At 38.6% G+C, this 26,573-nt stretch overlaps 1 protein-coding gene and 1 long non-coding RNA gene across 4 annotated transcripts in view; both read right to left on the minus strand.

Annotated features, from left to right (window-relative positions):
• GNAQ (G protein subunit alpha q) overlaps window positions 1-26,573 on the minus strand; it is a 315,715-nt gene that overhangs the window by 177,881 nt on the left and 111,261 nt on the right. The gene's annotated exons all lie outside the window — the stretch shown is intronic.
• Window positions 1,236-25,017, minus strand: LOC107987081 (uncharacterized). Its single transcript, XR_001746758.3, has 2 exons — window positions 21,372-25,017; window positions 1,236-21,249 (listed from the first exon to the last, which is right to left on the minus strand). It is a non-coding gene; the product is annotated as an uncharacterized LOC107987081 (long non-coding RNA).

The raw sequence follows: 26,573 nt of genomic DNA on the forward strand, positions 1-26,573 counted from the left end.
GAGATGATTTCAGAATGGCTCCGGCATACCAGGCACTGCTTGAGGACTTCAGGGCTCTTCTAGTGTCCCCCATTTTAGAGGTGAGGAAAATGTGTCCTAGAGAAATTATCTCACATGGCAAATAAGTAACAAAGCTAGCATTCCAATCGAGATGTCTGGTTTGTAAACTCTTCTTTCCAGAATGCCATGTCTTTCATGTTATTTCTCTGTTATCTGTACTACATAGATAAGGGTATTACAGTATTCTTAAAATATAACTAAATTTTAAATGTTTCATTTAAGTCATAAAAGAAGCAGTATTGCTAATAATACACTGTTTTAATAGAATATATATAATATATATTTAATAGAAAATATATATTATATATATTTAATAGAAAATATATATATTATATATATATTTAATAGAAAAAAAATATATATTTTATATATATATTTAATAGAAAAAATATATATATATTTTTTGGAGACAGTCTCACTATGTCACCAGGCTGGAATGCAGTGCTGTGATCTAGGCTCACTGCAACCTCTGCCTCCCAGGTTCAAGCAATTCTCCTGCCTCAGCCTCCCGAGTAGCTGGGACTACAGGTGCACGTCACCATGCCCAGCTAATTTTTGTATTTTTAGTAGAGACAAGGTTTCACCATGTTGACCAGGAAGGTCTAGATCCCTTGACCTTGTGATCCATCTGCCTCAGCCTCCCAAAGTGCTGGGATTACAAGCGTGAGCCACTGCCCCAGCCTTTAATGGAATGTTTTTTAAGGGATTTGCTTGTGATAAAATGGTGAGAATAAATATTATTGTTTTCATTGATCAAGAGCATTATTTTCCAGAAGTGTTTATTTATATAATAAACTTAAGAAGAATGCTAATTATACCTCAATATAATATTTTCTCTTAAATAAAATAACAATCAACTAAAAAAAGAATGGCAGTGGCCGGGCACTCACGCCTGTAATCCCAGCACTTTGGGAGGCCAAGGCAGGCAGATCACGAGGTCAGGAGATTGAGACCATCTTGGCTAACATGGTGAAACCCCTGTCTCTACTAAAAATACAAAAAAAAAAAAAATTAGTTGGGCGTGGTGGCAGGCGCCTGTAGTCCCAGCTGCTTGGGAGGATGAGGCAGGAGAATGGCATGAACCCGGGAGGTGGAGCTTGCAGTGAGCCAAGATCACACCACTGCACTCCAGCCTGGGTGACAGAGCGAGACTCCATCTCAAAAAAAAAAAAAAAACAGAATGGCAGCAAACATCGACTCTGTGCAAGGCACTCTGGTCATTGCTTCACATGTGTTAGTTCATTTAATACCCACCCTGTGACTTAGCTATTTATTTTCATCATTCCCCTTTAACAGAGGAGAATATCAAGCACACAGAATGTAACTGATCTGCCCAAGATCACAGCTAGTAAGTGGTGGTGCTCAGATCCAGTCTTGGTGAGGGGAATCTGACTGCAGTGTTAGGCACTGTACTATCCTGCTGCTAGTTACACAGATGGTTAGAGGAAGCCTCAGAGCTGAGGAGGGAGGTGGAGACACTCTAGAGAGAACCTTCTCTTGGTCTGCAGGGTTTGAGGCCCTCAGAAGAATCCAACATGGCCTTGAAGTTGGATTACAGCTCTTGATACCCTCTGTTCCTCCTTGTGAGAGATGACAAGAAACGGACTGGAAAATGGCAAACAGAAAATTCCTGATACAGTTTGGCTCGGTGTCCCCACTCAAATCTCATCTTGTAGATCCCATAATTCCCATGTGTTGCAGGAGGGACCTGGTGGGAGATGACTGAATTATGAGGATGGATCTTTCCGGTGCTGTTCGCATAATGGTGAATGGGTCTCATGAGATCTGACCATTTTAAAAAACAGGAGTTGCCCTGCACAAGCTCTCTCTGTCTGCTGCCATCCACGTAAGATATGATTTGCTTCTCCTTGCCTTCCGCCACGATTGTGAGGCCTCCCCAGTCACGTGGAACTGAGTCCAATAAAAGCTCTTTCTTTTGTAAATTGCCCAGTCTCGGGTATGTCTTTACCAGCAGCATGAAAATGGACTCATACAATTCCTAAATTAGAAAATACCTAAAATTTTGCATTTAGTTACAAAGTGGTAGAAGACATGCTGGATAGAAGCCTGATCACAGATTTTATTTACAAATCTGGGGGCAGGGGGCAGTTTATTAGCACTTACCTAGTTAATACATGATCCCCATTTTTAAAAGTAGAAATTTACAACAAAAGAAGCTAAATTGGAACACTTGTGAATTACTTAATAAACTTCAGTAGCTATTTCCTTCTAGAACTCAGTTACTTTAAAACACTCACCAGGAATAATTTCAAACATACATAAAAGTTTGGAGAATTATAAAATAAACTCCCATAAACCTTTCAAAAATCACCAAGATTTTACCATACTATACTATTTGCTTCATTTATTCTACGTTTTAAAACTGTTTTACTGAAGTATTTCAGAGGAAGTCCTATCTGTCCTAAAGCTGTCACTCATCCCTACCTGCTTTAATATGCAGCAATAAAATAAAAACTTTTTTTATACAACGACAATGCCAACTGTCATGCCTAACAAAAGAAAGAATAATTTCTTGGTATCAAGCCTGGTCCATATTCACATTTCACCAGTTACCTAAAAATTATATTTCTTTTCTTTTTTCTCATTTCTTTGTTCCAATCAGGATACAAACAAAGGACATGCACTAACAACATTTTGTCTCTTCTAGATTTTAATACAGAACAGCTCCTCCTCAACTTCCCCTTTTATCATGCCATTAGCTCAATGAAGGCACTAGCTCAATTTTACAAACCATTTTCATTCATTTCATGACCCTAATTATTTACTATGCACTTCAGAACATAGTGGATCTGGCTGACACCTTCTAGCTTCAAATACTTATTTCTGTTCCTTCACTATTTGTCATAAAAGAGGAAAATGACAACATATGACACATTGCATGGGCAGCTGTGTTTTGTCCTCCAGAAGTTATCTACACTACTAAGGACTAAGCATGTCTGTTATTACAATGATACTTAATTATAAAGGGAAACACACTTAAGTCCCATTTGAGAGACTGGTAGGAACTCTGCCAACCCGCCCCTTTGCCCCATTACAAAGGAGGCACCCGTGCCAAACCGGGGTAATTCTCTGCAGAACAGAGCTGCCCACTGTTAATTATGGAGTTTGGGGAATTAGTAGGCTAACAGACGACTATGATGCCGGGGAAAATCAGTTTGCTGGATCACAGAATGTGCTCAGCTTATTTTCTTTGTCAGGGATTTTAAAATTATTTATGATGAAGCTCTATTGAATGTTTTGTAATAATAATGAAGTCTTAGTAACATGAATCCTTACTGCAGCAGAGCACAGCTATTAAATCTTTGCTGAGAGCACAATGAGGGAGCCAGGGCTTTTTGTAACCAGCAAGGACTGTCTACAGAAAAAAAAGTGAGAGGTGGCCAACTTCGAAAGGCAAATTCAATTTAATCTCACAGTGAAGCCACCAGGGGCAGCACAATGCTGGAATGGTCTCTGCTTTCATAGGATGCAGCTTCTCCCTGGCCTGCCCTCAGCCGGCTTGCCCTTCAGCACTGGGCTCCTGCCATGGGCTGATGAGCCTCCAAAGCAGGACCTGGGCAAAACTTCGGGTGGGGGTGTCCCCTGAGATTCTCATTAAGACTGTCTCCTTCTTATGCTCCTGGTTTATAGTCTACAAATTGAAACACCAAAAAAACGTATGTTTGAGTGAAGGGAGGCCACTCAGGATCTGAGCAGCTGCTAAGTGCCAAGATGGCCAGGGGCCACAATGTGAGGCTGGAAGGCACTGGGACTTCCCCTGCCCCACTCCCTGCTCCCCCACATCAGTCATTCAAACCCATTATTTTAGTTCAGAAATTACTATTATCAACAACAACAAAAGTTAGTGAACTTTTGTTCACTAACTTTTAAAACACTTTCCCTGGAAAAAAAAAAAAAAAAAAGCAATGCAAGAAATCCTTCATTTAAGATAAAGAAAGTGAATTGTAAGAAGGGCCAAGAAAGCGGGATGACAAAATTTATTCAGAATTATCATATACCCTTAGTCTATGGAAGAGTAATATCTGTAGAAACGATAGAACCACTCTTAATTACCAAGAGGCCAACTGTTCTGTCACTGGATAATCCAGGCTCTTCTCCCTCTTTCTCTACAATCTGAAGTCATTATCCCACATGCTGTGCATTACTGTTACTTAATGCTAATAAAAGGCACAATATATTACCAGCTTGCCATCATCCCTCTCCAATAGCTTTTGGGCTCTTGGGTGACAGTGACTGGGCTTAAATCAACCCAAAGCTTTGACAGAACAGATGCTCAATAAATATCATCTTTAGTTAAAATAATAAAAAGTCTTAGGGAGCCATTCTGTCCCTCCCATCTAGGCTATTGCCTATTCAGAGTATGCTATAGTTTCTCCTACTGTAACACTTACTGCACTGTATTATAAATTGCCCATGGACTTGCTTGTAACCCAGCTAGCAGGTTAGCAATTCAAGAGCAACCTATCTGTTAGTTATAGATGCACTGCTTAGCACAATGCATGGCATATGGGTGCTCCTTAAATATCTGGATTTAATGGATGGATTGATGAATGAATGAATAAATGGATGGATGGATGGATGGATGGATGGACAGATGGAAGAACAAGTGAAAAGAGTAGAGAATACAATTTATAGCAGGAAAAAGTGAGTTTTTTCAAACAAATGGGAAACAAAATAAAAATTGATCCTTGATTCTACAACTCAGAAATAAACTGCTATTAAGAATTTATTATATCCATCTAGTATTTTTTACAACATATACATTTTGAGGTTGTTTCTTTCTTGCATATATTGTTATTAAAACAGGATTACATTATACCTGATAGTTTGCAACTTGCTTTATAAAAGACATAATATATCATGCATTACTTTCTAGATCAGGACATATAGTTCTACTTCAATGTTTATTTCAGCTGAAAAGAATTCCAAAGAGTAGCTGTACTATAATTTACTTCCTTATTGATAGATATTTGGCTTGTTTCCAAATTTTCACTATTATAAACAATGCTGTACCAACCAAATCTCACTCACCCGTTTTTTTGTTTTGTTTTGTTTTGAGACAAGGTCTTGTTCTGTCGCCCAGGCTGGAGTGTTGTAGTGCAATATGGGCTCACTGCAGCCTCCACCTCCCAGGTTCAAGCTATTCTCCTGCCTCAGCCTCCCGAGTAGCTAGGATTACAGGCATGCACCACCACACCCAGCCAATTTTTTTATTTTTAGTAGAGATGGGGTTTCACCATCTTGGCAAGGTTGGTCTCAAACTCCTGGTCACAAGCGATCCACCTGCCTCAGCCTCCCAAAGTGCTGGGACTACAGGCATGAGCTACTGTGTCCGGTCTCATTCACTAATGTGTGCATGTGTTTGTCTGTGTGTGTGTCTGTGTGTGTGTGTACTCTGCTTTTTACCAGGCACTGTTCTAGGGATATAAGAGTGAGTGGATACTATCCCACACTTAATGAGAGACACAGGCATTATTCAAAGAATCACATTAACAAAAAAAAAAATCAAAAAATGGACTACATGACTAGGAAAAAAAAGGAATATAATCATATGAAAGCATCTCATAAAATAATCTGGAAGAATGAAGAGGTGGGTGGCACGTGCAAAGGCAGTGCAGGAGGAAAGACAGCAGAGGTCAGAGGCGAAAGACAGCAGAGGTCAGAGGCAAAAGACCATCTGACTGGACCTCAGAGAACTTGGGCAGAGAATGGCGTCTCTGCACTTTTATGAGTGTTTCAATCACATATTTAACAAATATGTATTAAGCACATATCAAATGCACGGAACTGTGCTAGGTGCTGCTGATTCAGCAAGAACAAAGACATGATCCCTGCCGCCTCAAAAGCTTGCATTCTAGCAGAGCAAATTCTGCAGGGTGGAATTGCTACAGGAAAGACAATATGCCCTTTAAATTTTGTTACCTGCTGCCAACCTGTCCACTCTGGGATGTACTCAGCCCTTCCAGAGTCCACCTGTTCACCAAGTTAACAGAGTACTCAAAGCTATTTCTTGACTCAATCAGGTCTCCTTGGCCTGACACAGTTACTAAGTCAATCAGTAATCCTGGAGTCTTTGAGATATCTAAGACTGCTGAGCTGTTCTCATACTTGTGGTATATGTCTCATACTTGTGGTATACGTCTAAGTTTCAATAAGTAGGAAATTTAGAATGTGGAGGCCAGAGGTATTCCACATTCTAACAGAAACACATGTACGAATAACACAGTCAAAAAAGATCCTTCTGTCACTCCATCAGGAGACACTAAGATATTTTACTGCAATAGAAGCTTATTGCTAAAATGAGATTTAGAGCTCATCTGGAGATTTTAATTATTCATGTTATCAATGTTCTCCATTTTCATGGAAAACTGTGGGATAACTATACGGAATCTCACTACCAGTAAGGCAGGCTGATAATATCTACTTGTGGTTAGATACTGGGTGCACAGACAATTCTTTTATTCATCTCAGGTTCACTCCCGTTCACTAATTCCTAATTATCTACACTCCATGCAGTGGAGATGGGGCCTCGCTATGTTGCCCAGGCTGGACTCCAATTTCTAGGATCAAACTATCCTCCTGCCTCAGCTTCCCAAAGTATTGGGATTACAGGTGTGTGCTACCACACCTGGCTTCTCCATGCAGTTTTTTTCCTTCATGTTTTCCCACAATCCTTACTCCCATTCTCCACTTACTTACCCTTCTTTCTTGGCAGAAGACCGTACCAGTTCAGACAAAATTGACTAGCACTGTCTGTTAAAAGCCGCCTTCTTCTCAAAACCTTAAACTTCACCAATTCTCTGCTTGCTCCCAACAGTTTCAAAGCAATGAGTGTCCTGCTTCTCCATTTCTTTGTATTTTATATTGCTTGTATACTGTCAAATAGTTTCCCTCTTTACCAGCAAATTTCCACTGACCAACAAACACACTCGGTTCTCTCCTGAAGTTAAAGAACCAAACAAGCAAACCAAAATAAAAATACTTGCTTGAATCCTCAAGCTGCCATTTCTCTTCCATGTCCATCCTTTCACTCCGGCTCCTCACTCCTGGTCACGATCTTGCTTCCAGAAAGTACCACACTCTCACACCACCTGTGTAGTACCCGATAGTAGTACCACACTGTCACACTCTCATGCCACCTGTATTCCAAAAACACAAACTCCTATCACATCTGTTTCCTGCCCAAGGGCTCTTGGGCAGCCTCCACAGTGGTTAGAATCAATCTCCAGGATGTGGAATTGGAGGCTCTTTACAATACAATTCCCCTACACCTTTACAGCCTTATCTCTCACCACAAAACCTGGCCCATCTGTGTATTTAGTCCCTAAATTACTCAACTTTCCTGGGACTGTTCCTGTACTTTCTTACTCTCTGCCTTCACTCTGCTCCCACTCTCATTCATCTGTCCAAACCCTCCCATCTTCAAGAGCAGTACAGATACCATCACCTGGCAGAGCCGTCCTGCCTCTTCCTCCTTAGGCCGAGCTGGAGCTACTCTTTCTCTTAGGCTCCCTCAATGTCTTATAAGTGTCTGTGCCCTCACAAAATGGCACATACCTTGGGGGCAGAGAACCTTACTCTCCTCTGCATTCCTCACACAGCTACCCTAGAAATCCTGGTTTGAACGCTACCATCCTATACTTTTACAGTTTCAGTCTAGTTACAGTCTCAGTCCTTCTGGGTTGCTATTTAAAAATTCCATAAACTGGGTGGCTTATAAACAACAAACATTTATTTCTCACAGTCCTGGAGGCTAGGAAGTTCATGATCAAGGCACAGGCACACTCAGTGTCTGCTGAGAGCCAGTTTCTTAATTAATTGATGGCAGCTTCTTGCTGTGTCCTCACTGAGTAGAAGGGAACTAGCTTCCTTCGGCCTATTTTATAGGAGGACTAATCCCCTTCATGAGGGCTCCACCTTCATGACTGAATCACCTCCCAAAGGCCCCGCCTCCCAATACCATCACCTTAGGGGTTAGGATCTCAACATACAAATTTTGATGGGACACACATTCACACCATAACAAGTTACCTAACTCTTCTGAATTTATATTTATCATAAATAGGGTTACTAATGCCTCCACCTCTTAGCATTACATTAAAACTCACTGGCTGATGCAAAATGAAACTTTCAGAATGTTCTTACACCTTAAACAAGTTATAAATTTGTAAAAATATATTTGTAAGGAGTATTTTGTTTGCTTTTCACTTGTTATCATAATAATTAATTTCCAAATATTTCATCTGATGAAGAATATCATTTTCTCTTACTTGTGGTATATGTCTGAGTTTCAACAAGAATGCTTTTCAGTATGATTACTTTGGCAATTAGCACTAGCATCCTCCTTAATCTAAAATCCCACCTTTGTTGCTGACTTACATAATAAAAGCCTTGCTTACAAAGTTGAGAGGAATGTCTTAACAGATTATGACATTACAAGATGAGATACTTGGTTTGACATGGAATATCAGCTAAAATATTTAGTTTTAAAATACTAAAAAGGAAAACAAGAATGCTAAAAATAATAAAGGAAGAAAGATCAAGATGGTTTTCATAAAATCAGGAATCCACAAACTGTTATTGATAATGAGTTCTGGTCTTAGTCTTCAGAACAGGGTTTACAAAACCTAACCCAAGTTAGAAAAATGAACGCCAATTTGTTTTTGTACAAAACAGGATAAATTTGAATGGAGGCTGCAAAATTTCACCCAAGTTTGACCTTAATGGTCCTAGAGAGTGTGCAACTGCTTCCCAATCAGCCAGTGCAGCTTTCTTAACCATAAGCTATGGTAACTGAGTTAGCCTATTTCACAGCTTTCTTTTACTTCACGTATTCCTTCAACATGCAAGCTGGAGTTTCTGCTTTAACAATTTTGCAATTTGGGCCAGGCCTTAGTATCACAGGGAACTTATAATCTTAGGAGTAAGTAAAATTTGTAGCTGTCATCAATCTCCAAGCAGGTGTCAATGGTCTGTTAGATGAAGAGGTGAGCAAAGCCTGGAAGAAGTGCCTGGTATCTCAGCTAATCAGGGCAGGGGTGGGAAGAGCTCATGAGCAACACAGGTCGTTAGAAGAGGTCAGCCCAGAATGGCAGGATCTGTACTTGTGGAGGAGAAGCAGACTAGATAAACAAGATTAAAGTTTGAGGAGCCCCAGATCCCACTCCATAAGTGGACTTGGTCACAGACTCAGGCTGCAAGGATGGACCTGAATGCCCAGCTGCCTGATGGAAGCTATTCCCTAGAGAAGGCAGCATGGGTGTTGGACGCTAGAGATGCCTCATCCTCACTTCATCCTCACTCTGCAACCTGAATTGTATTTCACCTCACAAAGCCTCAGTTTCCTTACTTATGCAAGGGAGAGGATAGAAGCAGGGACTGTAAGGAGGAAAATGGAAAATGTTTAAGTGTTTAAAGGAAGATCCTAGAACATCTCAGTGGGAACAGACAGCCCAGTAAGGGTGAGCTCTCACTAAATGATAATTCCCTTCCTTTCCCCAGGGGCTAAAGGTGACTCCTTCCAGGCAGGCTCTATCTGGTTGACAGGCAGGCAAGTGATTCTCCTGTGGGAAGCTGAGAGTAAAAAGGGTGAGAAGCAAAATAATTTCTGACACTAGCATTTCTAGTCCAAACCTTTCATTAAAGCACAAGTGTGTGTATGTATGTGTGTATATATACATATACACACACACACATATATATACACACCTTATTTTAAGTGGAGAGAAAAAAAATGCTCAAAAGTGAACTGCCAGTTTTCTAACTGCCACTCCAGGGCTGTGTGTGACTTCTGGGAGGTCACCTAAAACCCGTGCCTGTTTCCTCATACCTGACAGCCAGGCTACACATACCTTCCATATTTTAGGGAAACCCTAAAACAAAACACACAAAAAAATCTTGTGAAATCACTCTCAAAACAGGCAAAATGTAAATGCCCTTACAAGGATGTGATGGGATGCCTTTTGGAATTTCCATATCAACTTGGATAATTTGGCTTTCTGGCAAGCTGGATCAGACTTGCTGATCTTAGATAAAGCCCAGCCCTTTTGCCTGGTAGGCTGAACACTTGCTAGAGCAAGTGTGTGGAAGATTAATGATCTATCCTGCATCTACTTGGATGATAAGCTTGCTCTCTTGTACCACATTTTGGCATACTTACACTTTTAGTTTAGCAAAAAGCTGACTGTGGAAACTGTAAATAATCAATTTCTAGAACAAAAGAGATATGGGCAGTGGAGTTAACAGAAGTTCACACCGGCTTTTTTTTTTTTTTTTTTTTTTTTTTTTTTTGTGAGACAGAGTCTCGCTCTGTTGCCCAGGCTGGAGTGCAGTGGTACGATCTTGGCTCACTGCAAGCTCCACCTCCCGGGTTCACCCCATTCTCCTGCCTCAGCCTCCCGAGTAGCTGGGACTACAGGCGTCTACCACCACGCCTGGCTACTTTTTTATATTTTTAGTAGAGACAAGGTTTCACCATGTTGACCAGGATGGTCTCGATCTCCTGACCTCATGATCTGCCCGCCTCGGCCTCCCAAAGTGCTGGGATTACAGGTGTGAGTCACCGTGCCCGGCCCTGTTTATGTTTTAAGAATAAAGTTCACATAATAATTAGTGCTTAGGTAAAATAATTAGCAAGTCTTTTGGGTTGATCCAAATTAAAGCTGGTGTAGCCTAACATTCTTTTCAGTTTCTTTGACTCCAAAATGCTGAACCACATCAACATGTTTGAAAACGATGCAGCTATTATTTTTTGTATAAATTGGTCAGAACAATGCTTACAACAGCTAGATTCTATATGGGATCATTTTAAAGGAGACACACGAAGAAACACACACACACAGAGGAAGAAAATACAAAATATAATAAATTATACAAAAGTGAAATGGCAATAAGAAAATTTCTGGTTTGTCTGTAATAGTCTATTGTTCAACTAAAGAAAACTAATTCCTCCCTCCCAAAATGACTTTTTGTGATAAAAAAGTTTTCTCTGTGTTCAGAAGTTAAGAATGGCCCTAATTTCAAGTACTCATCCTCTATTACCAAGAAATAAAATTAAGTTAGATGTTAAGAAAGGCAAATCCAGAAGTTGCCCATTCATTGAATGTGGAACTTGGAACATCGCTGAGTTATCAGATATACTTAAAAGATTCATAACATTACCATTAATAGAAATTTTTACAATTATTAGTACTGCTATTATAGTAACAATTCCTGTTTTTACAACTACAAAACCACGCCTATGAGTATTACTATTGTTCTAATAATCTGATTAAAATCAGAGCTGGGCTACCTTTCTCAAAAGACAGTCTAAGGCTTACTGGATTAGAGTCTCTGGTGGCTGGGCTCAGGTGTCTGCATGGTAATTAAGCCCCCCAGGTGATTCCAAAGCTTATCACTGCTTCAGGCTTAGGGGAAATCTTTTCAGACTCTACAAAATGAAAGAATAAAATTTCAAAATTTCTCTTTTAAAGCATGCAGTGGGGCTGTAATATTTTACACTGTCAGAAAACTGCATGAGATAACTGCACAGGAACATGGGGCATAAACTTGCTTATTCTCACTTAAAAGTCGATCATACACTTGGAGATAATTCAACCTGAAGCCTTTAGCTGTCAATGCCATTAAATACTGCTTTCATATTCAGGAAAATTCTGTCCAAATGATTCTTGAAAGAGTCCTTCAGGATTGCCAGCACTTACGGAAACATTTGCTCTTCAACAAAACTTACTTTCTAAGCTGGAAGCCATCATCCTCAGCAAACTAACACAGGAACAGAAAACCAAGCACCGCATGTTCTCTCTCATAAGTAGGAGTTGAACAATGAGAACACATGGACACAGGAAGGGGAACATCACAAACTGGGAGCTGTCAGGGGGTGGGAGACAAGGGGAAGAAGAGCATTAGGACAAATACCTAATGCACATGGGGCTTAAAACCTAGATGACAGGTTGGTTGGTGCAGCAAACCACCATGGCACATGTATACCTATGTAACAAACCTGCACATTCTGCACATGTATCCCGGAACTTAAAGTTAAAAAAAAAATAATTTCTAAATAAAATAACCAATGCAACTGATACTACCTGACATGTAATTAGTATCTCCAGAACAACCTAAGATAACAGCCCCAGTTTAATGATTTGAAAATATCTTAATCTCTGGAATGAATATAGAGGAAATTTTACAGCCAAACGTTTATGAAATGAAGTACATCATCAGTATTCAAAAATGTAGATTAAAGTATCACTTTCACCAATTAGATTGGAAAGACCTAAAACACTAATAAAACTGAGTTGGTAACGACGTGGTAAAAACAGGCAAGTTCAGATGCCACACAGTAATCTGGTATGATCTTTCTGGATGGCAATTGAATAATCTTTATCAAAAGCCTCAAAAATGTGTGTATTTTCTGACCCAGCAATTCCATTGCTAGCAGTTTATCCTGCAAGGATGTTCATTATGGCACAAGTGAGAAAACAACTCAGAAAAAAGTACTTGTGATATATACTCGATTAAAAAAAATCACTATTTTGTATATAAGTCCATACTCTCTTACTTATTAACTGAAATCTCCAAATTTCCAAGAACTGAAAAGACTTTTTTTGTAATTAATTTATGGGAAATGTAACCTGCTGCAAAGCTATTTACAATCTTCATTTGTTCCACTAATTGCAAATATTAACATACTTTGCTGCTAAAATGTTAATGTATTTGATTACACAGTACAACTCCAAACCTCAATGGGGGTTTTCTCACATTATCTTTCTACAATCTAAGAAAACTGTCCCAAGAAGTTTTAGATGTGGGACAGTGAACCTACATTTGTATGTGCAAAGTTAAATCTCAGTATGTGAATATACCATAAAATCCAGTGGCTTTCTCACACAGTGAGATTACAAGTGATTTTTTCCTTCTTCTTTTGCTTTTCTATGTTATCTGAATTTTTACAATGAACATATTTATCTTTATATTTATAAAATGTTTTTCTATTTGAGAAAAAGAAAAAAGGATCTAGTATTTATAGAAACAAGCTTCTTAATTTCAAGTGTACAGCTATGTTCACATACCAGAGGTGTTTCATAATTCATGGGCAAGTTATTTTTCTGCTGCATAAGCTTTCCAATCACTTTCTTGATTTGTGACCAAGTTTTTCATAGAGTTGTGCATTTCATTATCCCAAGACTGCAGTGGTAATTAAGATGCCTTCCCTGGCTCCTAACAAAGATATCGCCATGGGAAATGGTCAGAAAATGGACAAACACCCAGCACTGCCAGATGCATCACTACATGCACCAACCCAGAACAGCAGGAAAGGAGGCAAAGAAAGGGAAATAAGGAAAGAAAGAAAGAATATATGAGCTTTCCTATAGAAACTCTGCCTTGACTGCACATTAAAGAACTAAATAATTTTGTTAAGTATCTTGCCTCTCCAATGAGACTGCAAGTCCCCATAAGCAAAGTACATGTCTTACACTTCCTCTGGCTCGAAGAGAAATGAAAAATACTTGGTGGCATTTTAAAAATTATTTAAGTCGATGTGAAGTGTGTGGATTAACAAAAAACATAAAGAACAAGTAAAAGGAGTGTACAGTCAAGAAGGAGAAATCAAATAGGTGGTATCAGAGTTAAAAGTTTAAAAGATCCATAATAATAGTGGTATCATGTAATCGGCTCTCTGATTAAATACTGACTCATTCATTCCATAGTATTTACTGAGCCTAACTGTGGGTCAGGCCCTTTGCTAGGTCCTGGGGACACGGCAGTAACTTTAGCTGGCTGAAGTGGTGGAAAGACAGCTGGAGTGGCCACAGGTAACTGCATTTACTCTTTTGCACAAGAAAATTAAATACATGTGTCCTAGGTGCCAAAGGTGTTTATGGAGTCAAGTATACGAGCTGCCTTTAGGGAATTAAGCCTAATTCTGGGTTGGGCTTAATCCAGCCCCATAAACTTAAAAATTGAGTTATTTGGGGCAGGTATTTTAAACATTTTTCATCTGTAGAATTAGAACACTACTACTTACCTCACATTTTGGAGCATATTAAATGAAAAAGGCCCAGAAGTGGTTGGCTAAAGTTATTTCTCTCCCTTTTTCTTCTGTCCCTTTGCCTCTTTCGTTATTCGACTATCTGCCTCCTTCCTTACCTTACAAACACCCTGCAGTCAAGGGAAAAAAGTTAAGACTCCTTTATCTCAGCAGTGACAGAAATCCATGAACCCCTTCAGAAGGGCCCCCACTTTCATTGACATTCTGATGCCTTAAATCCTACCAGAGGCCAGCCACTGCTCCCAAGAAACCACTGTTGCACCGGATCATGGAACCCAAGTCTCATTCTTGGATCATAGCCTCTTGTATGTCTTTAAACAATAAGCAATTTCTTCTCAAATACTGTGCACTTTCCCCAAACAGATATACATTTCTCCTGACCTAGCACTTTCTGGGAAGAATTCAACAACCATTTAGTAGACACTGACTATGTTGATGTTATTGTCCCAAAAGTTTTGCATCTATATATTGTCATTAATGCTCACACTAACCATACAAAGTGAATACTATTATCTCCTCACATTTCCGACAAGGCATAGCATGGAGAGTTTAAATAATTTGCTGAATGTCTCATGGCCAAAATCCTATTGAAGTATTTTCTGGGATCTTCTCTCCAAAAGGTAGCCTACTGGTGATTTCATATTGCCTCTGGTGGCAGAGAGTCAGTTACTTCCAAGAGGCCTTTACTTTGGGCTGCTTCAGCATCAGCTTGTGAGGAAAGCAGAATCTCAGGCCCACCCTGGATCTACTGAAATACAAATATGCATTTTAATGAGAGCCTCACATGATTTGTATACATATTCAAGTTCGAGAAGCAATACTCTAGAACACAAAATCAATGTTCTCAACCTCACATTCAGTTAGGAAGACCCAAAGCTGTCATCACTGGAATATGTGGCACTTCTGTGCATATGAGAATAATGTACCCACCTCTCCACTTTCTGTTTATAGAGTCTGGCAAAAAGAGAGTGCTGTAGAGAGAAAAAGGCACCCCTTCCTCTGGGCCACCATTCTCCTCCATGGCTGGCAAAAACTGCACAACACTGATACACGCCACCCACAAAGCATATGGTATTGATTATTTTATGCCAAGGATCAAGGTCAACTGAAAGGTGAATCTAAAAGTATTTTAATCCCCAACTTTAGTGAGGTACTTTGACTGCAGTGTTCCATTAATACAATCAAACAGCTACATGATCTCATCCTGTTGCCATCCACCAGCTGCCCAGTAGATAGTAAAATGGCTAGAAGACGGTCAAGAGAAGAAAGACTAGGCTAGTGCCTTAGAGAATGCACACACAATCACCTAATTAACTGAACTCTTACCACAGAAGCACTGTTTTTAAGGACGTTTCACCACCTCACAGGGAGGCCAATATCGACAACACTCAGTACAGTCTTCTTTTTAGTTCAAAACCGTTATACTTTTTACCACAAAGGAAGTGTGCACATTGACAGAAGCAGATAACCTACCAGCCAATCCAATACTACTGCTCATCTCAGCGGGGATATCACATTTCTTGATATATGCCAGTCCTTTCAGTTACATTTCAGTTTTAACAAATAACACAAGATAGTAAAAAAAAAAAAAACAACAACTGCATATGCATCTTACAAAGTGGTAGCAACAACTTAAAGGTATCTTCTTAACAAATTCACTTTAAGAAACATAAAATCAGGAAAATAAAGGTGGTAAAAGTATACATTTATACGGGAAAAGCCAAAATGAGTAACTGCAGCTATTAATGAAGAGCTTATTTTTTTCTCTCCTGAAAGGAAAAGTATCATAATATAACATGAAATGACACAAAAAGTCATTTTTTAAAGTGCATTTCTTGCTGATATTCATGTTTGGATATACATGCTTGTACTAATGAAAATCATGAGTAGGTTAACAACATACTATTTAAAAACATAATTGCATAGCAGGTGTAAGTAATTTAGGGCAAAACAATATAATAAAGAATAAGACTACAATTCCTGAGAAGCAACAAGTTTTTAGGTTTTGATACATGCTATTAAAATGAAGGAAACTATTGCTTTGCTAAATATTAAGTAAGCACTACCCTGATTTTCTACAATAGCAAAAACTAAGTGCATCACTGAGATGACTTCTCCAGTGGCGTAAAAATGAGAAGGAAATGCCCCAGCATTTCTCATATCCTCCCTCGACCTCCATTCAGGCATTCACTTTCCTTGGCTCCAACAAATATATTCTGCCTAACTGAAAATAGATGCATTGTTTTAAAATTAACAAGGGAAAACAATACATTACTTGGTTTAAAAGAACAAGGAAAGTATTCATCTGATGCTTTGCCAGGAGTTAACCAAGAACAGCCAAATGACCAGCTTCACAACTTCCTACTAAAATGCGTTAAACTATGCCACATGTGTTTTATATGGTGGCTGTCAATTCCTGGTCATTCTGCGCAGGTTTGTCTAAGCAGCTGAGAGCAGTTTAGAGACAGGCTGCTAAAGCAGAGTTCGCTCATGTGTTTGGACCAATCAGTAATGTTCCTTAGAGTGCTATTTTTTTTTTTTAATCAGCCATATCAGTTTCTGTTGACTACAACATAGGAGATACTTAGCAAACATTTGTTGAATGACTAAAGAACATCATCTCCATTTAACAATGGACAACACTTTCAACTTTTCCAGACTATGTAATTCTCAAAACACATTGTGAACTAGGCATTAGAATCACCACTATTTTAGAAATAAGAAAACTGGAATTCAGAGACATTAATTTGCTTAACACCACACAACAGTTTTGTCGTAGAGTATGTTTCAAACCAAGTTGTGTATGACTCCAGTAGTTGTGTTCTTGTGTGTATACCACACAGTACACAAAACCCATCACGGTCAACAAGTGTTCACTCGTTAATTCATTCAACAGAGTAGAACCATATGTCAAATACTGAACTAGGTTTAAGTAATTAAGGCCCAATCTCTGCCCTCAAGTGTTAATTTTCTTCCTTTCATCCAATTTTAAACGATTTGGATTAGCTAAAGATGAACTGAGCTGTGGCTGTGGAAGCTGTGCATGAGCTGAAGACAAGCTGAGCTAGGTTACTTTGAGATGAGATGAAAAACAATGCAGATAGGCCACCAAGCATAAGCTGGGGGAACATTATGCAAAGACAGTCACTGCATGTGTACAATTTAGAGATAATGCTGGACGTCCATCAGTTTTATTCCCACATACATATACAATGTAGTGTCCAAAGGTCATTGCTGGCATACATGAGTGTGTGTATACGTGTGTATGTGGATACATGTTTACAGTTGCACCTGTGCTTAATGCCCCTACTTTACCACAGTGAGCTGCTTCCCATTATCTGCATTAGGCACAAATGAGTAATAATTTTACATACCAGGATTAAAATACTATAGTTAATAAAAGGGCAAAATCAGCTTTCATTACCTTCTGACGTAACTTTAACTCTCATATTGAGCCACACGAATTGGTCTACTCCCAATAGCTTGAGATCATAAAACACAAAAAAAGAAAACCCAGGTAAGCCTTTTCAATCTAAATGCTACAGATGGTGAAGATAAGAAACTCGAAGGGATTCTGATGCAAAATCCGGTGCTGTAGAGCCATGTTGGCCCAAAAAGCGATTTGTGGAAGGGGAATTTGGTAGAACTCCATTGCACTCAGTGTCCAGCTCCAACTCTTGTTAGAGGAAATGCTTAAAGTGAGAAAGAACATCACTGAATAATAATGAAGCCACCATCACCCTTCATAAATAAGGACACTGATCTAAAAAAGAAAACCGTATTATCAAACTAGGAAAAATAAAAGTCCTTTTACTAAGCTATGCAGCTAACACAGTCTGGATAAGGAAATAAACCGAGGCCTCAAGAAAAAGGAAGATGTCTGCATTAGAGAGAACAATTAACACATTTGGATTAACCCTAGGAAATCTACCTGCCAGTTAAAAAAATGCTCTTCTTTAAAAGTACACAGGAATAAATTCAGCTCTTGTGCAATCCCAAAGAAGAAAAACAACACTGAGTGACTTCTACTGCTGCCCAATATTAAAACATTGCAAAGCTCAGTCATTAATAGAGCACAGCAGTGGCACAAAGATATACAAAATAGATCAATGGAACAGAATGGAGAGTCCCGAAACAAACTCAAACATATACATTCACTTGATTTGTGACAAAGGTGACACTGTATTGCTCTGGGTAAAGGATGGTCATTTCAATAAATGAATTGGGTTAATTAGATATCCAGATAAAAAACATAAAAACTTGGCCTTTACCTTATACCATACTCTATAATCCACCTGAAATGGATTTTAGATCTGAATGTAAAATGTAAAACAATAAAGAACTTCGAAGAAAATCCAGCAAATTATCTACATGACCTTAAGTAGGCAAAGATTACTTTAAAAGGACACAAAAAAGCAATTATTAGAAGGGGAAAAAATTATAAACTGGGCTATCTTACCATTGAGAACTTTCACTGAAAGAACCATTAAGAAAACAAAAAGCCACAAAATAGACATCTGTAAGCCATTTACTCAACAAAGATGTATGTCCTTAATATAAAAGGAACTCCTACAAAACAATGAGAAATCAGACAAGCCAATGGAAAAAGGGTAAAAAATTAATGTATTTTATAAGAGATAACCAAATAGCCAGTAAACATATAAAAAAGTGCTCAGGATGCTTAGTTATCAAAGAAATGCAAATTCAAACAACAATGTGATACCACTATCCAGCCATCAGAATAGCCAAATTAAAAAGACTACTGGGTGAGGTGGTACACCCCTGTAATCCCAGCTGTGGTGAAAGGACTGCTTGAGCCCAGGAGTTCTTGACCAGCCTGGGCAACATAGCTGAGACCCAGTCTCAAACACAAACCAAAACTAGTAATACCAGCCATGAGAATAACTAAAACAAAAAGAATACCAAATGCTGTTGTCAAGGATGTGGAGCAACTAGAACTCTTACAGCTTGTGGGAATGTAAACTGGTATGATCACTCTGGAAAACTCATTGGCAGTATCTACGTACTAAAACTGATTATATGCATACTTTCTGACTCAGGAATTCCAAATGCTAGATACATACTCCAAAGAAATGCAGACTTATGTTCACCAAAGACAGGTACAGGAATGTTTATATTTGCAGTATTTTTATCAGCCAGAAATGCCCAAATTTATAATAGGATATAATTATATATATATAATTATAACAAATTATAGCATATTTATAAAATAAAATGTCATACAACTGTACTGTCCAGTACAGTAGCTGCTGGTCACATGTAAATTTAAATGTAAATTAATAAAATTAAATGAAAGTAAAAATTGAGTTCCTCAGTTACACTAGGCACATTTCACAACTCAATAGTCACATGCAGCTAGTGGCGACTGTATTGGACAGAAGAGATAGAAAGCATTTTTATCACCACAGAAAGTTCTGTGAGGCACTGCTATTACATAGCAATGAGAATAAAGGAATTACAAGTTAACAACGTGGGTGAATTCCACAAACACAATGTTGAGTAAAATAAACCAGAGACAAAGGAATATATATTTTGTATGCCTTCATTCATACCAAGATCAAATACTAACAAAACTAATCTACGTTACCAGAAGTCAGGATAGTGGTCATCCTTCGGAACTTGGGAGTATTGACTGGAAGGGAGCATGAAGAATCTTCTGAGGTTATGGTTATATTGACCCAGATCAAAAAATCCAGATATACATGTATTGACAATGGAAAAACACACACGACTCAATACTGATGTTGTGTGCACTCTTCTGTATTTTTTTGAAATTTTTATTATCGAAAAAGAAAAAAATATCAGTCTCAGTCCACTGCTGAAGTCTTCCTTTGTTTCAGAACCCTCCTCTGATGAAAATGAACTTAGATGTACATCCTAGAAAGGCAATATGGCATGCCTTGGGATTACGAATTAACTTTAGCCAAGAAAACAAGGAATTTTAAATATCTCATATTCATCTGCTATTTTTACATGGCCGTCATGGGTATAAAATGAATAAAGAACTGCAAAGATAAAGGGAGGAGAAGAAAATGTGGCTAGGAAGTATCTGCAAGATATTAAAAGAGAAAAGAAATTATAGAAAGGGATTTTGAAAGTTGATATAGTTACCAGAGACTCCATGGTGATTCAACTCCCAAGAGTCCTGGAGAGAAGGGAGAAAGCAGTAAACCAATCTTAGAAAAAGAGGTGGCTGACTCATCAAATTGGCCATGAAAAGTCCATAGATTCCTTTAGACTATTAAAAAGCCAAGAGGCACAGTGGCTCATGCCTGTAATCCCAGCACTTTGGGAGGCCGAGGCGGGCGGACCACCTGAGGTTGGGAGTTTGAGATTTAGCCTGACCAACATGGAGAAACCTTGTCTCTATTAAAAAATACAAAAAATTAGACAGGCATGGTGGCGCATGCCTGTAATCCCAGCTACTTGGGAGGCTGAGGCAGGAGAATCGCTTGAACCCAGGAGGCGGAGGTTGCGGTGAGCCGAGATTGTGCCATTGCACTCCAGCCTGGACAACAAGAGCAAAACTCCGTCTCAAAACAAAAAAAAAAGATGAGAAAACTCTCAAAGATTTATAGAAGCAGGAGTAGAAAGTTTCCCTATGAAAAAGCATAGGCTGTTTTGGTACCCTGTGGCCAAGAATCCAATTAAAATCACTGTCACCCACAAAAACCTTCATCTGATATTTTACTTTTGAACACCAAAAAAAAAAAAAAAAAAAATCAACATAGATGTAATCATTACAATCACGTATGGGATTTAGATACAAAGAAAAAAATCTCTATTGGGCTGGAGACCATTATCAAAGCAAATCTGTTGTTTATTGTCTTTTTAAAAATTTTTCATAGGTGCTGTAGAATGGATAAAGTTCAAGAAAGGCAAAAGCTTCAAAATATAAGAAAATAATTTTAATAACAGCATCATCTCTTTTTTAGAGTTTCAGAATGAGAAAATCAACATGAAGAAAAACAGTGTTGAGAAGAATTTTAGAGGTTGTCTAGTACATTCCTAGCTTTATTTTAGCAAAAGTGCTTTAAAGAAATTCACATGTTAAAAATACATTCTATTTTGAACACAGCCAGATAAGGAGATTTCTGTACCTCTTTTAGTATCCCATTTCAATGACTGTCACTCTGAAGTGACTCTGAGGTTTTCCTTAAATACCTCCTAAATCTGGTCACATTGTTTGTTTTATTCTTTGTTTTATTCTTTATTTCTGTACCTCTTTTAGTATCCCATTTCAATGACTGTCACTCTGAAGTGACTCTGAGGTTTTCCTTAAATACCTCCTAAATCTGGTCACATTGTTTTTTTGTTTTATTCTTTAAAAAGATGGAAGGTTAGTAGTATTCATTCTCTACATAATGACAATTCCTCTTATAACTTCAAAACTTTCAAAAACCATTTATGAGACATTTTCACATACATTATCTATTTAACCCTTGAAATAATCCCATTACTATTTGTCACAGATGGAGAAATTCAAGGCTTAGAGAGTTAAAACAATTGAAGCTGGCGGGGGTGGGGGTGGTGTGGAAATGGGATAATCCCAAGCTTATTATATTCAATCCTTAGAGTCAAATTCAGCTAGCTACTTCGTATATAACTAAGTCACTAACCCCTTTACTTCTTTCCACTCCAGAATAAGAAATTTTATTTTAACAAAGACTTAGCAAACAGTAAAATCAGAGGGCTTGCTTCTATGGAGAATCCATGTGTCACTTTATTTTTCACGCTGTGTATTTTTGCAGTGAAGATGTGTAATTTGTAACACCATCATTCCCCTTCTTCCACCAACTGTACCCAGATTTCCCTCAGGGGCTGTCAATCATATTGTTGAGCCTTCCCCTGTCTAAAGACTTAGCACAGAATCCAGGCTGCTCCAAATCGGCACTTTTTCCCAGAAATCTGAATCTTAGGTGGGTGACAGAAGATTGGAAATGGCCAGAGTTCATCCATTTCACAGATGAGTTCTCTGAGCCTGCCCTAGTTTCTAAGAGGCCATCCTTCAGCTTCTACTCCCTTCTCCCAGTGAGTCCATTTTCAGATAAATTCATTTTCTGCTTAAGTTAGCCAGTGTTGGTTTCTGTTGCTTGCAAGCAGAGAACCTTGACTGATAGAGCTCTTCAGAGGGGTAGATAAGAATATGTATTTATTAATTCTGCCTCTATTATGTATTTATTATCTAGGTGGGAAATACTAAAATGAAATCAGCCTTTTGGCATTTTGTAAACTAAGAAAATTCACTCATGTTGCACAAAGTAGTAATGTTTTATTCCTTGATCAAGGGCAACAATAAGTTGGCAAGTTTTCCAGAATCCTGGCTACATTTTTCAGGAAAATGAAAAATGGCTTCTGGGACCTTGGATTATTCAGGAAGTACAGAAAATTCAGAAAGTGTCAAATGTGTTTAACGAGGTACTTTCCTGTGACAAGTTCTTTCTCAGAATTGCTTAGAGAGGACAAAAGGCACTGTAGCAATACATCCTCTCATAACCCCTCCATGCTAGGCGAAAGGGAAACACAGGTGTCAGGCCTCAAAACGCCTGGCTAGTTTGTCAGAGACAGCTGCAGCCAAGGTGCTAAATAAGCCCTGGTTATCAGGACTTTCAAGTCTAAAAGGAAAAACTGGTTTACAAAAAAAAAAAGGTGCAACTGTCCACTCAACATTGGCCCAAGGTGAGGCGGAGTTCTCTTAGACAACTGTCTTAAAATTCACTACATGAAGAAGCATTGTATCAGATTCTTTTCTCTTCCCAGGACTGGCAAAGAGAGCAATGGCCTATCAATACTTTGAAATTGCCACAATACCACCCTTATTTCACAGTTCATAGAGATTATAAGCCAACTATCAAAGGATACTATGATCCGCTATCTGGAGTAATTCACTCAATAAACAAAAGCTTCTACAACATGTCTGGCATGTTACGGAGGAGATAAAGAATTATAAAGGAAGAAGCTTGCTTACTGTAAGATAATTTTCAATCTGAGAAAATAAGGCAAACAAATATGAAATAACTAGTAACAGGCAACGCAGGAAGAACCCCAACTGCCAAGTTCAGACAGTAAAAAATCAAGGATTCCAAACCCTGAGATCCACTCCCTCAGCTGTAACTCAAAGACAGTTCCTTGGCCACATAAACACAGGCACTTTATATCCTTTCCTTTTTAATTAAGAGCTGATTTCAACACCAAAGCAAAGATCCATCAGAAAAGCACATCGGTATAAAGAGGGCGGAAGGAGGGTGGGGGGGAAGAAGGTAAGAAAAAATAACTACTGGGTACTAGGCTTAGTACCTGAGTGACAAAATAATCTGTACACCAAACCCCCATGACACGAGTTTACCTATAAACAAACCTGCACATGTGCCCCTGAACCTAAAGTAAAAGTTTTAAAATAATAAACTTAAAAAAAAAAGGAAGCCATAAAATAACAGGGATAAAAATTCTTTCTTTTGTAAACTAAGAAATGACACAGTTATCTCACAGTCAAATGCCCTTGCACCTAGTAGAGCCTTAAATATGGCTTTTGATTTGACCGAGTGACAAATACTTAATCCCTTTTTATCACTAGTTATCAATATTTGTGTTCAGGGAAAATGCAAAATAATATTTAGGAATAAACAAACCCTAGTTCACAGACTATTCAGAAGTCCTAAGACGTATGTCTTCTCTCACCTGGGCTGAGTCCAAGCAGCTCACCTATAAACAGTGCTTGTTTGGCAAAAAGTACAAGAACAGGACAACAGATACACACTCGGGGAAGAATTCATCTTTCTTTTGGTAAAATGTGCAATTACAAGCTCCTTACTAATTATGCAATCTGTTGACAAAGGGCATGCAATGTCACACCATTTGGTCCAGAGACTGTGAACTGGACTCCCCCTGACCACAGCACCCTCCGGCCAGCTAACCAGGCAGGACTCTCGGTTCAAGCAATAACAAGTAAGCAGGAGCAACAGAAACCTCAGTTACTCTGGGGTGGCATTCCAAAAGCCAGAATCAATTTCACAGCAAACAAAACTGAACACTTTCCCAGTTCAGAAGAGCTCATATAATGTACAGGCCATGTTTTGCTTTATAAAATACAGGAGCTCAAAAGCAAGTACAAAGTTATGCTGGACAATATTAGAAAGTATCTTTATTTATGCTACTATAGATTATGGCCAATGTGATGGTGGGTGCAGAGAAGCTTTACTAAAAACCAAATGGTTATGTTTTTAAGCCAAATTTCCAAAATAGTTATTTATTTTATATCTTTAGTGTCACAATAATATAAATCAGAATGTGATACCTCCATGTAACTGTTAATCAAATATACACCAAATTCTTTAGACTATTTATAAATTATAAAGTATATACCTTTGTAACCATAGAAAACTCTAACCAAAACATAAAATATTATTATTAAAATAATAAACACAAGAAAATAAAATCCAAATTTAGCCTGCATGTGAAATCTTTCATGAAACATCCTAAACCATTTTCTAGTCCTCCTCTATAAGAATTCCACTCAAGCTAAATTGGCAGATTTCTACATCCCATGCAAATTCCTTCTTCTGATCATTTATTATAGCCATTCCTTCTCCCCAATGTGCCCCTCCCTCAGATCTGCCCTTCTCCCTTTCTGGATTGTAAATTTCTGCCCAGCCCTGATTAAACTTTTCTGTATCCCTGACAGTATATAGCATTTATTCCCTTATGCATACAGATTTCAAGAGTTATTTGTTGATTTGAATAATCATTTCGACAAGTTTAGGGCAGACGAGGAGACTCTCAATTGTTAAGCTCACAAATAATTTTTTTTGTTTGAGATGGAGTCTTGCTCTGTTGCCCAGGCTGCAGCGTAGCGGCATGATCTCAGCTCACTGCAACCTCCACCTCCAGGGTTCAAGCGATTCTCCTGCCTCAGCCTCCCAAGTAGCTGGGATTACAGGCATGTGCCACCACGCCTGGCTAATTTTTGTATTTTTAGTAGAGACAGGATTTCACCATGCTAGCCAGGCTGGTCTCAAACTCCTGACCTCAGGCTACCAGCCCGCCTTAGCCTCCGTAAGTGCTAGGATTACAGGTATGAGTCACCATACCTGGCCACAAATAATTTACCTATTCAAAAAGATGTATTTTTTGAGCACTTACTATGTACAAGATATAATGCCAGGGACAATGAAGAATGAATGCAAAGATGGAACTGATGAAGACTGACTTTCAAGGAGCTCAGAATCTAGTGAGGAAAATAAGATCAACATCCAAGTCACCATAATCAATACAAGCTAGGCAATTACAAACACTTCGCTATGGATATGCTAAAGAACAGTAGGATTACTTAGCACTATGAGGGGCTGGGAAGCTATCAGAGAACTCTCGGAAGAAGAGGCAGCTGAGCTGAACAGGAAGGAGTAGACATGATGTCCTTAACAAGCATAAACAAAGGCAACAAGTGGGCAGAGTTCAGAAAGTTAATGGATGAAGCAAGGTGAAAATGACGCTTTAGAACATGTATATGATATAGAGAAAAAGAAACAAACGTGAAAGTCATTTGTAATATGAATGAAAGGTGGTTAAACATGGGAAACTGGGAGGTCATCACACTAAAGTCATGATATGTAGGAGGATTTATGAGGATAATTATGGTATCTGAGGAAAACTCATATATTGTAACGTTTTATGATGTCAATTTATAACTGAATAGTATTCAACACAGTAATGTCTACTTAATTAGAATTGACATGAGGCCGGGAGAGGTGGCTCATGCCTGTAATCCCAACACTTTGGGAGGCCGAAGCAGGCGGATCATGAAATCAAGAGATCAAGATCACCTGGTCAACATGGTGAAACCCCGTCTCTACTAAAAATATAAAAATTAGCTGGGCATGGTGGTGCACGCCTGTAGTCCCAGCTACTTGGGATGCTGAGGCAGGAGAATCGCTTGAACCTGAGAGGCGCAGATTGCAGTGAGCTGAGATCGCGCCACTGCACTCCAGCCTGATGACAGAGCAAGACTCTGTCTCAAAAAAAAAAAAGAATTGACATGAAAAGTTCAAATAACTTGTTAAATATTCTTCAATGTGTTACATGAATAAGGCATAAATTCCACCCCATCTTTAACATCTACATGACTGTATAATAAATGATCTTCATATGGGCAAGGTCCTGTCTTAAAACAGGGCAAGGTCCTGAAGGATTCTTCTGGAACATCTAAGAAATAAGATTTTGGGGGATAAAATTCAGGGAGATTATATTTTAGTGTGTAAACTGGCAGTGTGGTGTGTATATATAAAAAACAAATAGCACACACATGGTAAGTCAGGCAGAATTCATCAGATCATCATATTATTAACTGACCGTAAACTGGAAAACTCGCTGGTATTAAAAAAATAAACAACAAACAAACTCAACACAATTACAACTACAAGGAAACAAG

Source organism: Homo sapiens, chromosome 9, assembly GCF_000001405.40.
Source record: "Homo sapiens chromosome 9, GRCh38.p14 Primary Assembly".
In the NCBI taxonomy this organism is placed as follows: Eukaryota; Metazoa; Chordata; class Mammalia; order Primates; family Hominidae; genus Homo; species Homo sapiens.